Source organism: Homo sapiens, chromosome 16 (genome assembly GCF_000001405.40).
Source record: "Homo sapiens chromosome 16, GRCh38.p14 Primary Assembly".
NCBI lineage: Eukaryota > Metazoa > Chordata > Mammalia > Primates > Hominidae > Homo > Homo sapiens.
In genome coordinates, this window is record NC_000016.10 from 53,100,210 (window position 1) to 53,117,759 (window position 17,550).

General features: G+C 42.8%; 1 protein-coding gene across 28 annotated transcripts in view, besides 2 other annotated features; it reads left to right on the forward strand.

Moving 5' to 3' along the window:
• The window catches only part of CHD9 (chromodomain helicase DNA binding protein 9), a 272,507-nt gene that overhangs the window by 45,219 nt on the left and 209,738 nt on the right, over positions 1-17,550 (forward strand). For 2 of the 28 annotated variants that reach the window (NR_168117.1, NR_168120.1), the window contains one exon: positions 13,503-13,662. The exons of 23 other annotated variants lie outside the window; for them this stretch is intronic. The gene's annotated coding sequence lies outside the window, so the exon portion shown is untranslated. Of the gene's footprint in view, positions 1-13,502; positions 13,663-14,756; positions 15,065-17,550 lie in introns of all 28 variants that reach the window. 3 more of the 28 variants (NR_168123.1, NR_168109.1, NR_168111.1) reach the window with 2 other exon arrangements.
• Positions 21-120: an enhancer, noted in NCBI's record as "active region_10840". NCBI's record gives its function as "activates an Ori minimal core promoter by ATAC-STARR-seq in GM12878 lymphoblastoid cells {active_cell/tissue: GM12878}" and the evidence as "EXISTENCE:reporter gene assay evidence [ECO:0000049][PMID:35858748]".
• Positions 11,104-11,173: an enhancer, noted in NCBI's record as "active region_10841". NCBI's record gives its function as "activates an Ori minimal core promoter by ATAC-STARR-seq in GM12878 lymphoblastoid cells {active_cell/tissue: GM12878}" and the evidence as "EXISTENCE:reporter gene assay evidence [ECO:0000049][PMID:35858748]".

The following is a 17,550-nucleotide window of genomic DNA, read 5'->3' on the forward strand; positions in this document are numbered from 1 at the left end:
GACCGAATTCCCATTCCCAAATTATCCACAAAATGGCCCCTACTTATTTTGTCTATGGGTTCTTTGTGCAGTTGCTGCCTGTACAGTCTTTGTGTCCTCTGAATGTGAGGAGAATAGGGCTGCTATGGGAAAGGAAATTAAAAGAGAAGTGATCCTTGGGTATCACACCTGTAAAAAGCGATATTAACTGAAAATCACTGTTCCTTTTGAATTAGAAAGCACTCTGAATTTAGACTCATTCGTCTTTTTTTTTTTTTTTTTCCAAAAGACAGGGTCTTGCTCTGTTGCCCAGGCTGCTGGAGTAAAGTGGCTGATCATAGCTCAGTGAAGCCTGGGACTCCTGAGCTCAAGTGATCCTCCCGCCTCAGCCTCCCAAGTAGTTGGGACTACAGGCATGCACAACCATGCCCGACTAATTTTTTAATTTTTTTGTAGGGATGGAGTCTCACCATGTTGTCCAGGCTGGTCTTGAACTCCTGGGCTCAAGCAATCCACCCACCTTGGCCTTGGCCTTTCGAAGTGCTGGGATTACAGGCGTGAGCTGCCACCCCCAGCTTGAGTAGAATCTACCTTCACAAACACTTAGAAGCTCTATGACATTGGCAAGTCACTATAGGCCTCTGTCTCCAATCTGTAATATGGGGATTTTTAATAAAACCATCCTACTACTACATCAGATGGTGTGAACATGAAATCAGATGATGTGCATAAAACATGTTATTATATATAATTATGTGTAACTATATAATATTTTCTCTAGATGGCTATGTCACTGCCCTGTACCATCTGAAAGGGTTGTTTTACTTGTTCACTGTGCTCATGATAGAAGAGCCTGCCTCTGGGTGTGTTCACAAGTGTAAATAGAAAGCTGTAGCCTCTGGCTACATTAGGATTTACTGCATCTAACAAGCAGCCCCACATAGCTTGTTTACACATTACCGACAGATTAGGTGTACATCATCTTATTCCTTTATATCAAGAAAAGCAAGTTTATCATAAGATGGATAAAAACCTGCTGACTGGAATAAATCTTTTTTACTCCAATCTCACATTTTTTCCTTTTCTTTTTTTTTTTTTTTTTTTGAGACAGGGTCTCACTCTTTTACCCAAGCTGGAGTGCATCGGTGCAATCACAGCTCACTGCAGCCTCAAATTCCCATACTCAAGTGGTCCTCCTGCCTCAGCCTCCTGAGTAGCTGGGACCACAGGCATGTGCCACCACACTCAACTAATTTTTAAATTTTTTGTACAGATGAGATATCACTAAATTGCCCAGGCCGACAATTTTTTAATCAGGATGTAAACTTATGAAGTTACTGCCTGGTGTACAGTGGGTGCTAGATGGTAGGGTAGGTGCAAGTTAGATAAATGGAAGGAAAGAAGAAAGGAAGAAGGAAAGAAATTAGGCAACTATAGGAGCAAAGCTGGATTTACCAGGAAACCTCAGGGCTCTTCATTTGCAGGTGTCCCTTACAAGGCCTTGTACCTAATTTTTAATTCATAATAATGTATTCCTTTTCTAAGGAGAGTACCCTAGTATTGTATACACTTTAGGCCACACCATACTTGGATTTGAGCCTTTACAAGAGGTCTGTGAGAGACCCAACCCTTGTTCTTGTTTAAGATTTTTAAGCACAAGTGAAAATCAAGTGGTGTCAGGGAGTTGGGCATTTCCATGTCGTCTCCATCATGAACTCCACATCTGAAATTTGTAGAGAGATCATATGTAGGCCAGGTAAGGACAACAGTGTAAGGAATGGGTCGTAGGAAAAAAGTGGAGGTCAGGAATGTGTAGAATTGTTGGGCCGCTTCCAGTTGATTTCTGTAATCTACTCTCATACTTCAGGGCTATTAAGTTTCCAGAAGGTGTGAATCTGGGTGATGCTGGTTGCATTGTACTGGGCAATGGAGAAACAGTGGCTTGCAATCTGGAACTCTCTGCCTAGTCCTGGCTGGTCTTCACTAGGACTCACTCACTAACTAGTTGTTTGGCCTTGGTAGGAGTCACTTCACCTCTTTGGCCCTATGTTTCTCTACATTTAGGATGTTTGATAGGTGATTTCAGAGCCCCTTGTTTTAGCTTCATGAGAGTAGGGTTCAAAACTGCCTTCTTCACAACTGTATTCCCTGTGTTGAGTACAGTGTCTAATAATAATTATTATTATTATATTAATAGTAAGATTTTTTCATAGTGCTTACAGATGAGGAAACTAAAGTGCAGAGCTGTTAAATAAATGTCCTAGGTCATCCAGCTAGTAAGTGGCAGAACCTGATTCAACCCAAACAGTCTCACTCCAGAGTCTCTCTTCTGAACTGTGACACTCTATACCCACAATAAATATTTTTTTAATAGATTTAGGCCATGCATGGTGGCTCACACCTGTAATCTCAGCACTTTCAGAGGCCAGAGGTGGGAGAATCACTTGAGGCCAGTCTTCAAGACCAGCCTGGGTAACATAGCAAGACTCCATCTCTGCAAAAAAATAAAAAATTAGCCAGGCATGGTGGTGCATGCCTGTAGTCGTAGCTACTCAGGAGGCTGAGGCAGACGGATTGCTTGAGCCCAGGAGTTCAAGGCCACAGTAAGCTGTGATGGTGCCACTGAACTCCAGCCTGGGTGACAGAGTGAGACCCTGTCTCTTTCTTTTTTTGGGGGGACAGAGTCTTGCTCTGTCACTCAGGCTGGAGTGCATTGGCGCAGTCTCGGCTCACTGCAAACTCCGCCTCCCGGGTTCACGCCATTCTCCTGCCTCAGCCTCCTGAGTAGCTGGGACTACAGGCACCCGCCACCACCCCTGGCTAATTTTTTGTATTTTTAGTGGAGAAAGGGTTTCACCATGTTAGCCAGGATGGTCTCGATCTCCTGACCTCGTGATCCGCCCGCCTTGGCCTCCCAAAGTGCTGGGATTATAGGCATGAGCCACCCCACCTGGCCCTGACCCTGTCTCTTTAAAAAAAAAAAAAAAGGTAGATTTTATTTGTTTTTTTTTTCTTTTTCTTTAAAAAAGAGATGGGGTTTCATCATGTTGCCCAGGCTGGTCTCCAACTCCTGAGCTCAAGTGATCCTCCTGCCTCAGCCTCCCAAAGTGCTGGGATTACAGGTGTGAGCCACCATGCCCAGCTTAGCTTTTATTTTTAGAACACTTTTAGATTTGCAGAAGAATTGAGTAGATAGCACAGAGAGTTTGATGAATGAGCAAATCAGTGAATGGAGTATCCCTTGATGGAGACGCTGATTCTTTACCCAAGGCAGGTTAAAAGGGAACTCATCTTTGTGTGAGTTCTCTATGTGCCCAGCACTTTATATATGCTATTTACTTTATTCTTACAGCCAGCTTGTTAAATAGGGAGCGTTAACCTCATTTTGCAGTGAGCAAACTGAGGTTCTGAATGGCTAGAAGAATTGCCCTAAGTCCTCTAGCAGATGAGGGGGTAGAGCTAGAAAGTTCTTATCTATCTCATCCTAAAGATCACATTTGCTTTTTCCTCTGATTGAAAACTTCAAAGTTATCCTCAACAGGTATTTTGTTTTGTACATACCTAACATTGGTCTCTAGTGCCTTATAGTTTTTAAAATGCTTTTGTACCCCTCTTTACCTTTTGGTCATCACAACAGCACAGGAAGGTGAGTAAGGCAGCTTTTATGATTGCATTTCATAGAGGCAGCTACTCGGGCTTAAAACATTAAGCTTGTATATGAAAAGGGCTGAGGTACCTTCAGGACTGGAACACAAATATGTTGATTTCCTACTCCATGGCCTTCCCTTCTCGCCAAAGCATTCCTCTGTTATAAACGACTTCATTGCACAGGATTCTTGCTGGGCCTGCACAGGAAATACCTGGTTTGCTCTGGTCGTGGAGCTGCTCCTCTTCCCTGGAGTTGGCCAGGGGAATTTTTCTAAAATCTAAGCTTTGACTGCATTTAACTCCTTTCCTAAATGTTTGGAGGAAAAGGGTGAACTCTGACATTTTATTTTTTCCCCCTTGTATTTAACCAGCACAAAGATTTGGCCATTTTCAGTTAAAGAATGTTGTTTCCGATTATGGCACAGTTAGAAATTGCATTGCCAATGTTGGAAACCCATTTCATGATGGCAGCAGAGCAGAGATTTCCACTCTGCCCTTGGCTCTCAGGCCACTATTGATATACATTGGAAGCCAGCAAATTCTCTTGGGTACTTCTCCTTCCTTGACAGCCCCTAGCTGAAAGCACCCAACTCAACTCATCACCCTGGAGGAGAGATTCTTATTTTGTTAAATTATTTTTTTATTTTGAAAACAATTCAAACCTACAGAAACTGTATAAGAAAGTTACAATGGGCTAGGTGCAGTGGCTCGTGCCTGTAATTCCAGCACTTTGGGAGGCCAAGGCGGGCAGATCACTTGAGGTCAGGAGTTGAAGACCAACCTGGCCAACATGGTGAAACCCCATCTCTACTAAAAATACAAAAAATTAGCTGGGCATGGTGGCAGGTACCTGTAATCCCAGCTACTCGGGAGGCTGAGGCAGGAGAATTGCTTGAACCCAGGAGGCGGAGGTTGCAGTGAGCTGAGATCGTGCCACTGCACTCCAGCCCGGGTGACAGAATGAAACTCTGTCTCAAAAAAAAAAAAAAAAAGTTATAATGAACTTCTTTCTCGTATATTCTCCTAGTTGAAGGGCTTAATTTTAAAAAATCATTTAATGTAATTTTACTACCTTGAGCCCCGAACGCCTGGGCCCAAGCTGTCTTGCTGCCTCAGCCTCTCAAGTAGCTAAGACCATGACTGGCTAATTAAAAAAAAACAAAAAAACAAAAAAAACACAAAAAACTGTAGAGATGGAGGTCTCGCTAATTGCCCAGCCTGGTCTTGAACTATTGTCCTCGAGCAATCCTCCCACCTTGGCCTCCCAAAGTGCTGGGATTACAGACATGAGTCACCACGCGCAGCCTCTTTAAAATATTAAGTTTATTTATTTCAGTAGGAATTATATTTGTTTGATTCAAAATTCGAAAGGATATATAGTGAGGTGTCTCCCCCAAACCCTGTCCCCCCAGTATCCAGTGCATTTTCTAGAAGAAGCCAATAATTTCAGTTTCTTATGGGCCTTTCCAGAGATATTTCATATATATGTATGTAAATGTATATAAGCAAATACGGTTTTATGTGCGTATTTTTGTTTTGCCTTTTTTTTGTGGTAGCATACACTTATTCTACAACTTGATTTTCTCATTTGAAATTATTCTATTAGTAATTTATTTCAGTCTTCTCATTTTTTAAAAATGATTTTACTGTATTCCATTGTACGGGTATTCCATAATTTGGTCAACCAGTTCCCTAAGATGGTCACTTAGGTTGTTTCCAAACTTTTGCTAATATTAACAATACGCCAGTGAATAACCTTTTATGCATATTATTCCATAGGAGAGTTTTCAGCTTTTAAAAGAGCCTGGAATCAAAGTTATACTATGAGACTATGTCCAGGATATCATAAATTCAGGTGCTTTGGAGAAGAGTCATTCCTTGTCTCTACATTCCTTTGATCTGGGAGTTGGTAATCTAATCTTCCATGCTGTGGGTCTTGAATTTTCACTGGTGATAACTGTCTCTGGTCACAACAATGATAAGAACTTTTTTTTTTTTTTTTTTGAGACTGAGTTTCACTCCTGTTTCTCAGGCTGGAGTGCAATAGCGCGGTCTTGGTCACTACAGCCTCCGCGTCCTGGGTTCAAGCAATTCTCCTGCCTTTGCCTCCCAAGTAGCTGGGATTACAGGTGCCTGCCACTATGCCTGGCTAATTTTTTGTATCTTTAGTAGAGATGGGGTTTCACCATGTTGACCAGGCTTCGAACTCCTGACCTCAAGTGATCTGCCCACCTCAGCCTCCCAAAGTGCTGGGATTACAGGCGTGAGCCACCGCACCTGGCTCAGAAGTTTTTTAAATGGATGATTTTCATGTGCTAAAGTGGCCTGTTTCTCATTATTCTCCTTTGCATCGTCTCTGCTCAGCACATTGGTCAGTTAGTTCAATACAAATGGCATATGCGTTGCCATCATGATTCTAAAATGGTCTGGGATCTATCCTTCAATTTGTGTTCTGACCTTGAAGCCAAGTTAGAACACTTGAACCAGAAGTTCAGGCTTCAGAATGTTTGCATTTGAAAAATGAACCAAAGTTTCCTAAATGTGCTGTTTGGTGAACTCAAAGAAGCATAGTAAAAGGTATAAACACCACCAACAAAAAATGACTAATGGATATTTCCCGAAGGACAGCTGGAAGGCAGTGCTTAAAGTTAAGTAGCTGGGAACATCTTCTGTTTCTTTTTCAAATTAGGTCTTATTATAACAGGTATTTACTAGGACACATTTCAGATAAAAAACTGAACCCCATCATTGTTAGCTGAGAGGAAAAGAAAAAAGGTTCATAATCTAGTTAAAGATGCAACTGCCTCAGACACACATACATACACACACACACACACACACACAGCGCGATGTGCATATGGTGTGGTTATAGTGCAGAATCTAGCATCCTGCTTCCCAAAATGGCCTACCCTACATCTATTCTAGATTTTAAAAAAGAAGGAGGAGGAGGAAGAGGAATAGATCTTATCCTTGAAAACATTTAGAAGAGGTAATGTGTATGTTCATTGCAAAAGATACATACACAAAGGAAAGATGGCATCAAAACTTCTGAGCTCCAGGGCACTGGTTGACCAAATTATGGAATACAAGAAAATCATTTTTAAAAAATGAGAAGACTGTGAAATGAATTAGAATGACTTCGAATGAGAAAATTAAGTTGTAGAATAAGAGTACACTACCACACACACAAAAAGGCATCTTTACAATATGTAGTCACCCTCACCATCTAGAAATTCTATTTTGCATCTGTTTATTGATAAAATTTTCAACAGCCTGGGCAATATAGCGAGACCCTGTCTCTAAAAAAATAAATGTAGGCCAGGCGTGGTGGCTCACACTTGTAATCCCAGCATTTTGGGAGGCCTGTAATCCCAGCACTTCGGGAGGCCAAGGCGGGTGGATCGTCTGAGGTCAGGAGTTCAAGACCAGCCTGACCAATATGGCGAAACCCCGTCTCTACTAAAAATACACAAATTAGCTGGGTGTGGTGGTGTGCGCCTGTAGTCCCAGCTACTCAGGAGGCTGAGGCAAGAGAATTGCTTGAACCCGGGAGGTGGAGGTTGCAGTGAGCCGAGATTGCACCACTGCACTCCAGCCTGGGCAACAGAGTGACACTCCATCTCAAAATAAAATAAAATAAAATAAAATAAAATAAATAAAATAAAATAAAATAAAATATAAAATAAAATTAAAAAATTTAGCCAGGCGTGGTGGCACATGCCTGTAGTTCCAGTTACTTGGGAAGCTGAGACAGGAGGATCATTTGAGCCCAGGAGGTGAAGCTGCAGTGAGCCATGATGGCACCACTGCACTGCAGCCTGGACGACACAGCGAGACCCCATCTAAAAAAATTTTAATAAAAATAAATAAATATAATTGGCACATTGTTACCTGAGCATGGGCATGACAAGTTCATTTATTTATCAAACCTTTATTGAGTACCTACTGTAGGCCAGGTATGGTCACAGCAGTGAGGACGTAGCAATGAACAAACAGAAATTCTTATCCCCTGAAGCTTATTTTCTAATGGAGAGAGAGTAAACAAAAAAATAAGTAAAACACTGTATATCATGTGGTGCTAAGTGACAGGGAGAAAAACAAAGCAGGGGATACAATAGGGAGGGAGGGGTGAAGGGAGAGGACTACAATAAAAGAAGGCATCATTGAGAAGGTAGCACCTGAACCAAGTCTTGAAGGAGTGGAGATTATAAAGTTGGAGCCTTTCAAATAAAGTCATAAACTTTCCTTGTGGTATAATTTGAGGGTAAGACCTTTTTATCTCCAAAATGTTCTTTTTACCCACTTATTGTGATCTCTAAAATTTTATTATTAGCAATACCCACTTTTAGGTTAAAATGCTAAAGTAGAAATATGCAGATATCAGGCCAAGCACAGTGGCTCATGCCTGTAGTCCCAGCACTTTGGGAGGTTGAAGTGGGTGGATCACTTGAGCTCATGAGTTTGAGACCAGCCTGGGCAACATGTTGAAACCCCATCTCTACAAAAAATACAAAAAAATTTAGCCAGGTGCGGTGGTGTGCACCTATAGTCCCACCTACTGAGGAGGCTGAGGCAGGAGGATCACTTGAGCCCAGGAGGTGGAGGCTGCAGTGAGCTATGATTGCACCAGTGCACTCCAGCCTGGATAACAGAGTGAGATCCTGTCTCAAAAAATATAGATAGATAGATAGATAGATAGATAGATAGATAGATAGATAGATAGATGCAGATATCAATTATTAAAACCTCTGTGTGGGGCCGGGCGCGGTGGCTCACTCCTGTAATCCCAGCTCTTTGGGAGACCAAGGCGGGCAGATCACCTGAGATCAGGAGTTTGAGATCAGCCTGGCCAACATGGTGAAACCCTGTCTCTACTAAAAATACAAAAATTAGCCAGGCATGGTGGTGGGTGCCTGTAATCCCAGCTACTTGGGAAGCTGAGGCAGGAGAATCACTTGAACCCCAGAGGCGGAGGTTGCAGTGAGCTGAGATCGATCCATTGCACCGAGATCGATCCATTGCACTCCAGCCTGGGCAATAAGAGCAAAACTGTTTCAAAAATAAAATAAAATAAAATAAAATAAAGTAATGAAACCTCTGTGTGAATATCTGATACTTTGGTAAGTTTTCATGAGGAAAGAGAGTAAGATGATTGAAGGAGAGGGGGTGTATCTGGGGATAACTGATCTTGGGATGTGCAGGGAGGAATAATGAGATGAGAGTCTGGATTGCCACTGCTGGAAAGCAGGGATCGAGCAGCTCCTTAAGAATGGTTCCTATCTCTCATGCCATGCCCGGTTGCCCTGTCCTGGGGATAATCCTGGGGCTCTCAGCCAGTTTCTCCTAATCCCAGTGCTAACTGAGGTGCATGGGGGCACAGGAAAAAGGCTGCTGTGTGGTTTAGTGACACGTCTCCTGAGGGGCAGGGGTGTTTGGAGTTGTGCTACAGATAGTAGTATAAACAGGGACACCCAGAAAGCAATTTTGGGACTCGTAGTCCAGCTAGTTTGTAGTTAATTTAACAGCCCTCAGAAAAATAAACAATTCAGGAAACACTGAAAGTTTCCTTCATAATCAATGCAAGAAAGCAGCATTTTTTTTTTCTCCTACCTCAGCCTCCCATATAGCTGGGACTACAGGCGTGCGCCACCATGCCCAGGCTAATTTTTTGTATTTCTAGTAGAGACAGGGTTTCACCATGTTGGCCAGGCTAGTCTCCAACTCCTGACCTCAGGTGATCCACCTGCCTTGGCCTCCCAAAGTGCTGGGATTACGGGTGTGAGCCACAGCGCCCGTCCTAAGATCAGAATATTTTGCCTAAAAATTTGGATTCCCAGTTTCTTTTTTTTTTTTTTTTTTTTTTTTTGAGATGGAGTCTCGCTCCGTCACCCAGGCTGGAGTGCAGTGGCGTGATCTCGGCTCACTGCAAGCTCCGCCTCCCGTATTCACACCATTCTCCTGCCTCAGCCTCCCGAGTAGCTGGGACTACAGGCGCCCGCCACCACGCCCGGCTAATTTTTTGTATTTTTAGTAGAGACGGGGTTTCACCATTTTAGCCAGGATGGTCTCGATCTCCTGATCTCATGATCCGCCCGCCTCGGCCTCCCAAAGTGCTGGGATTACAGGCGTGAGCCACTGCGCCCGGCCTGGATTCCCAGTTTCTATTGAAGAACGAGAAATTCTAGCAACATTGAACTCTTATACCCAATAGATAATAATCCCAGGAGCCGAGTAAAGCTATGCACTCTCCAGTTTGTCATCCCCAGCAGTCCCTATTGCCTCATTTCCTAGCTTGTGCCCATTACTGTCTGGTCCCGGTAGGCATTTGAGTTTGTGACCGGTGGTTTAAAGCTTATGTCTATAGAAGTATTTTTGAGAACTGAACTTACAGGAACAAAGATAAACCTAAAATAGAGAAGACAATCCAGTTTCAAACGATGAGGTGAATGCCTTCAGAAATAATCTGCTTTCTTGGCTGGGTGCAGTGCCTCATGCCTGTAATGTAATCCCAGTGCTTTGGGAGGCTGAGGCCAGATGATCAACTGAGCCCAGGAGTTCAAAACCAGCCTGGGCAACATAGTGAGACTCTGTCTCTATTAAAAACTTTAAAAAATATATTTTAAAAAGTAATGCTGCTTTCATGGGCTGGCACCGTAGCTCACGCCTGTAATCCCAGCACTTTGGGAGGCCAAGGTGGATGGATCACCTGATGTCAGGAGTTTGCAACCAGCCTGGCCAACATGGTGAAACCCTGTCTCTTCCAGAAATGCAGAAAAATTAGCCAGGCGTGCTGGTGTGCACCTGTAGTTCCAGCTAGTTGGAGGCTGAGGCAGGAGAATCGCTTGAACCTGGGAGGCGGAGGTTGCAGTGAGTCAAGACTGAGCAACTGCACTCCAGCCTGGGTGATGGTGAGACTCCATCTCAAAAAATAAAAATGTTAATAAAAATTTTTTTAAAACCAAAATATTCTGATTTTGAGATGCTGGCAACTGATTCAAGATAGTTAAAGACACGGTGTGGGCCAGTGTGTGATCTCTGACATAAACAGGTAATCTGGGTGCAGCATGGAACATGATAAGAAAGTAGGCAAAGGAAGGACATCTGGTCAACCTGACAGTTTGAGAAGGTACATTTTTTGGGGAGTTGACCTTTTCCAAGTTGACCCCTTTGCCAAGGTTCTGCCCCACCTATTTAACCAATAGATTATTGTGGAGTAATGTCTGAGTAGTCCTGGCAGAATGGAAGAAAATGCTGAAGTGAGACTCATAGGCCTGGGTTCTAATGTTGGTTGTCCCACAAACTCACTGTGCAACCTCAGATAAATCCCTCAGCCACTCCAGCTTTAATTTTCTCATCTGCAGAATGAGGGGGCTGGACTTACAGATTTTCAGCATGTGCCCCACCAAGCGCAAGACATCTTCAGAGATGCCTGGGAGAGCTGGGGAGGGTCGGGGAATCCCAGGGCTTGCAGGAGGGCAGCTGAGCCTTTGTTCCATTTTCTCTTTGGGGTTTCCACTTTTCTGTTTTACATCTCAGGGTTCTTCTGCCAAAAAAGAAAAAAAGTCTTTTTCAAGAAAGAATTTCCTCACTTTAAAAATGTTTGAAAATCTTTGGATTCATTGATCAGCTCTAGTATACGGTTATTAGCAGAGGTTTGCAAATTCTTTGAGGCCTGTAGTTCATCTGAATGTTTAGTCTTTTCTCCATTTGCCTCATGTGCTTTTCTGCTTACACTTACCACTAGCTCCAACCCCAGGCTGATGAAATGAACAAGTAGCCAACGAATACCATGGGAAGATTCTGACTCATTATCCAGTTCAATAGCTTGTATTGGGGAATTTTCTTTTTTGTTTTGGTGAACATATATGTTCTTATTTCTGATATTATATTGTTCATAGGAATGTAGTCATATTTGCTACTAAAAAACGTTCATATGGTTTGATACCACATTTCAGCATTTCACAATGATCTGCAACTTCCAAATGCTCTGCCACTAGAACAAGTCTGAAAATCACTCAACTGGCCTTAAAAAAATTAGCTATAATTTGTTGACAACTTAATATGCGATGACTTTATATGTATCATCTCTAAGATTCAGATTATTATCCCTGCAGAGAAGATATCTTTGTCTGTGTCTTACTGATAAATAAGGAAACTAAGTCTAGGTGAGGTTAAAAACTTGTCTTGAACACACAGGATTCCAGCTTGTATCAGTGCCAGCATATTCTCAACCAGACAACCTCTAAATTTGCTTCTCGATTTGAGAAATCAGGCAACAGCAGGTCTTTCTTCTGTTTTAAGCTGTCCTAAAATCACCTGCAAAACTGCTTTCAACTTTCAACTTTCCAGATCCTCTTATCTACTGAAGATTCCTTGAATGGTAGCTTGTTAACTCACAACTGTTCAAGTTTGTTGCCCTAATCTTAACTGATAAGAGGGCCCCTGAATTTAAGTAGTCCCTTCCATGCCCTGGGTTGTTTCAGTGGAAATGAAAGAACTTGAGATCTAGGGGTGAAAACAGACTTTGGGGAAGAAATAAGTGGGTTTTTCAATGTTATTCCTGGACTTGGCTGAGCTGAGCTTCTCTCCTGCTGCAAAGGAAATTACTTTCCCTGTTTGTTGATCTACCTGTTGTTCTAAGTGTAACGTGTTCAGTTTCTCTGGTGGTAGATATATGCCAAGCATGTGTCACAAAGTAAGTATTATGGGCCATTCTTTTTGTTTAGCACTTTGCAGGGCACATGGTATATCCTAAGTCAATATTTTTAATTCCTATAACTGGATTTTTTTTTCCTTAAAGTTCACTAACAAGACAAAAGACCAGTACTTTTTATTTGCACAATGTAGTATTTTTGGAGAATGCTTATGAATATTATCTATAAGAAACAGCAACAAGGCCAGGCATAGTGGCTCACACCTATAATCCCAGCACTTTGTGAGGCCAAGGCAGGAGGGTCACTTGAGTACAGGAGTTCAAGAGCAGCCTCAGCAACATGGTGAGAGACCCCATCTCTACAAAAATAAAAATAAGCTGGGTGTGGTGTCTCACGCCTGTAGTTCTAGGCTAAGGCAGGAGGATTGCCTGAGTCTAGGAGGTCAAGGCTGCAGTGAACTATGATGGCACCACTGCACTCCAGCCTAGGTGACAGAGCGAGACCCTCTAAAGACAAAACAAAACAAATTAAAATTAAAAATAAATTATGTGTGCTTGGTGGTGTGTGACTAGTCTCAGCTACGTTTGGGAGGCTGAGGCATGAGGATCACTTGAGCCTGGGAGGCCGAGTTTGCAGTGAGCCATGATTGTACCACTGCAATCCAGCTTAGGTGACAGAGCGAGACCTTGTCTCAGAATAAATAAATAAAGAACGTCAATGTGAGGCAGGCAGCATAGATGTTATGAGTCTTATTTCACAGACAAGAAAAAATTGCTAATCACTCATTCAGTTGGTTAGTAGTAAGCCTGGACTACAACTCAGATATTTCCACTTTCAATCCTGTGTTCTCTCTGTTTTACAAGAATCTTGGCACTTTTTTTTTTTTTTTTTTTTGAGATGGAGTCTCGCTCTCCTGGGCTCAAGCAATTCTCCTGCCTCAGCCTCCCGAGTAGCTGGGACCACAGGTACATGCTACCACGCCCAGCTAATTTTTGTATTTTTAGTAGAGACGGGGTTTCACCATGTTGGCCAGGATAGTCTCAATCTCTTGACGTCATGATGCACCCGCCTCAGCCCCGCAAAGTGCTGGGATTACAGGTGTGAGCCACTGCGCCCAGTCGAGTCTTGGCATTTTTAACTGGAGGAGGAGAGTGGTTTCCAGTTGACTTCCAGGATGAGCCTAGTTTTTTTGTTCTTTTTCTGTTTTGTTTTGTTTTACAGAGACAGGGTCTTATTCTGTCATTCTAAAAAAAAATCTGGAGTGTAGCGGCACGATTGTAGCTCACTGCAGCCTCAAACTGAACTCCTAGGCGTAAGCGATTCTCTCACCTCAGCCTCCTGAGTAGCTAGGACTACAGCATGCACCACCACGCCTGGCTATGTATGTATGTATTTATTTAGAGATAGGAGTCTTGATTTGTTGCACAGGCTGGTCTTGGACTCCTGGCCTCACCTCCCACCTTGGCTTCCCAAAATCCTGGGATTATAGGTGTGAGCCACCACACCCAACCTTTATTAACATATGATGATGATTTTGAGGAAAAGGGTTATTAATTATTGCTTGAGAAAAAAATCAATAACTACTGTTTTTTCTTTAAAAAAAAAAAAAGAGGTTCCAATTGTAAGCAAGGCCTTAAAGTTTAGAGTTTGCCATAACAAAAACATATGAACAAGCATTTTTGAACCCACCACTATTTGGTCTAATTTCTTCCATGAAGAGGATGGAATCTGACCATCTCACTCTTCTGTGAGCATCATTATTATTGTTATTATTATTATTATTTTGAGATGGAGTCTCGCTCTGTTGCCCAGGCTGGAGTGCAGTGGCACGATCTTGGCTCACTGCAACCTCTGCCTCCCAGGTTCAAGTGATTCTTCTGCCTCAGCCTCCCGAGTGGCTGGGATTACAGGCCCATGCTACCACACCTGGCTAATTTTTGTATTTTTAGTAGAGACGAGGTTTTGCCGTATTGGCCAGGCTGGTCTCTAACTCCTGACCTCAAGTGATCCACCTGCCTTGGCCTCCCAAAGTGCTGGGATTACAGGCGTGAGCCACTGCGCCTGGCCAGCATTATTTTTTATTATTTTTTATTTATTTATTTATTTTTATTTTTTGAGACGGAGTCTCGCTCTGTCACCCAGGCTGGAGTGCAGTGGCGCAATCTCGGCTCACTGCAAGCTCCGCCTCGCGGGTTCACGCCATTCTCCTGTCTCAGCCTCGCGAGTAGCTGGGACTACAGGCGCCTGCCACCACGTCTGGCTAATTTTTTGTATTTTTAGTAGAGACGGGGTTTCACCGTGTTAGCCAGGATGGTCTCGATCTCCTGACCTCGTGATCCGCCCGCCTCGGCCTCCCAAAGTGCTGGGATTACAGGCGTGAGCCACCGTGCCAGGCCAGCATTATTTTTTTATTTGCTTTGTAGCACAAGTATTTGATTGATTGATTGATTGATTGATTGCCTCTTACTTCTACAGCTAAATGAAGGGATTTGTTGATGACTTTCTTCCAAGAAAGAAAAGAGAAGTGTGCTGCAGTTTTCTTTCTCCCTTTAGTTTGAGGTTTTCAGGACAGGTGTTAACAGATTAACTTAGGTTACTTGAATGCCTCTTTTCTTTCCTGAGAGGTTGATTTTTCATCTGGTTTGTGCCTAAGGCTGCCTCTTGTGATAATGAGGCAAATGTTTATAGCAGCCTAGAGAATGATCCGAAGAACAGCTTGGGATGCTGTCAACCTAGATGACCTAAGAAGGACTCACCCAGATAATAAGAACATGGGTAGCCAGGTAATTATTCAGTTCTGTGTCACTCAGAGCAGTACTTTTCCATGTTGGTTGCACAAGTAATTACAAAAAGAGCTTTTAAAACGTAATGCTTCCATACTGACCCATCACCCCTAAGTCTGAGCAGGGTCTGAGCAAAGATAATTTTTAAGTTTCCTGGGAGATTCTATGAGGTTGGTGAATCTCCTAATCTTATTCTATTAGGTTCTATTATTTTGCCAGTAATGGCCAAAATCGCAATTACTTTTGCACCAACCTAAAAATATGGAGCTGGGCTTCAGAACCTCTAATAAAGGCTTCCAGTGTCCTGTTCAAAACCAGGTCGGATAACTCCAAATGGCAGCCGGTTTTTCTGCCAGAACAATATGGGTATGTTGAGTGATCGGTTTGTTTTGTGTAAGATACACATTTATTCAGCACCTGTGTTCTAGGTGCTGAGAGTTTTTCGAGGAACAAGACAGAACCTGCTTATGCCTTAAGATGCTTTCTTTTTTAGTGGATGGAGACAAAAAGTAAATATATAAACAGGACTGCGGTTAAGTGTTAGGAAGGAAATAAACTAGGAAATTAGGAGTCAAAGAAGGCCTCTAATATGAGGAATTATTTTTGCAAGACTTGAAGAGGAAGAAGGAGCAGCTGTACCTAGAGCCAGTGGTAAGGCAGAGGGAAGAGAAGGTGAAAAGGTTCCGAGACAAGGAGGGTGTGTTTGAGGAACAGACTCCAGGTGCTTTCAGTTATCTAGAAAGAGGAGCGGCAGATCATAAGCAAATACCAGCCTGACATTTTCTTTTTGCTTTTTTTCTTTTTGAGACAGAGTCTCACTCTGTTGCCTGGGCTGGAGTGCAGTGGTGCGATCTCACCTCACTGCAGCCTCCACTTCATGGGTTTAAGCAGTTCTCCTGCCTGAGCCTCCCGAGCAGCTGAGATTACAGGCGCATGCCACTACATCCGGCTAATTTTTGTATTTTTAGTGGAGAAAGGGTTTCACCGTGCTGGCCAGGCTGGTCTCAACCTCCTAACCTAAAGTGATCTCCCCACCTTGGCCTCCCAAAGTGCTGGGATTATAGGCGTGAGCCACCATGCCTGGCCTGACATTTCTTATAGTTTGTACAAATCACTCAGTATGTTCTTGCCAAATAGTACACACTCTGCAAGAGAAACACAAAGAGAAGCATCCTCCAGGAGCCAGGATAAGGTGTGCTGGATAGAGAGGGTTCTGCTTTGCTAGTCAATAATTATTGATTATAAGGAAAAAGTTAGGCAGTCCCAGTCAAAATGGCGATTGTTAAAAAGACAAGAAACAACAGATGCTGGTGAGGCTGTGGAGAGATAGGAACGTTTTTACACTGTTGGTGGGAATGTAAATTAGTTCTACCATTGTGGAAGAGGATGTGGTGATTCCTCAAAGACATAGAACCAGAAATACCATTTGACCCAGTAATCCCATTACTGAGTATATACCCAAAGGAATATAAATCATTCTATTATAAAGATATATGCACAGGTAGGTTCATTACAGCATTATTCACAATAGCAAAGACATGGAATCAACGAAAATGCCCACCAATGATAGACTGGATAAAAAAGTGTGGTACATTTAAACCATGGAATGCTATGCAGCCATAAAAAGGAACAAGATCATGTCTTTTGCAGGGACATGGATGGAGCTGGAAGCCTTTATCCTGAGCAAACTAACTCAGGAACAGAAAACCAAATACCACATGTTCTTACTCATAAGTGGGAGCTGAACAATGAGAACACATGGACACAGGGAGAGGAACATCACACACTGGGGTCTGTTGGGGAGTGGCAAGGGGGAAGGGAAAGCATCAAGAAAAATAGCTAATGCATGCTGGGATTCATACTTAGGTGATGGGTCGATAGGTGTAGCAAACCACCATGGCACACGTTTACCTATGTAACAAACCTGTACATCCTGCACATGTACCCCAGAACTTAAAATTTTTAAAAAAATTAAAAAAAAATTTAGGAAGTCCTGTATGACACCATGATAAACAATGCAAAGGAAAAAATTCAATTATATATTTGATATTCAGAGGATTTGTGCTAATCCCTTAGTCTTAGAATACAGACTATTCATGTGGCGATAGCCACAGACATTCAGTTCTCTGACGTAATATATATATATATATATATTTTTGGAAACAGAATCTCACTCTGTTGCCTAGGCTGTAGTACAATGGCATGATCTTGGCTCACTGCAACCTCTGCCTCCTGGGTTCAAGTGATTCTCTTGCCTCAGCCTCCCAAGTAGCTGGAATTACAGGCACCCACCACCATACCCAGCTAATTTTTTGTATTTTTAGTAGAGAAGGGGTTTCACCATATTGGCCAGGCTGGTCTCGAACTCCCGACCTCAGGTAATCTACCTGCCTTGGCCTCCCAAGGTGCTGGGATTACAGATGTAAGCCATTGCACCCGGCCTGACATACTATTTTTGAGATCTTTACCCAAACTTTCTGGAAGGG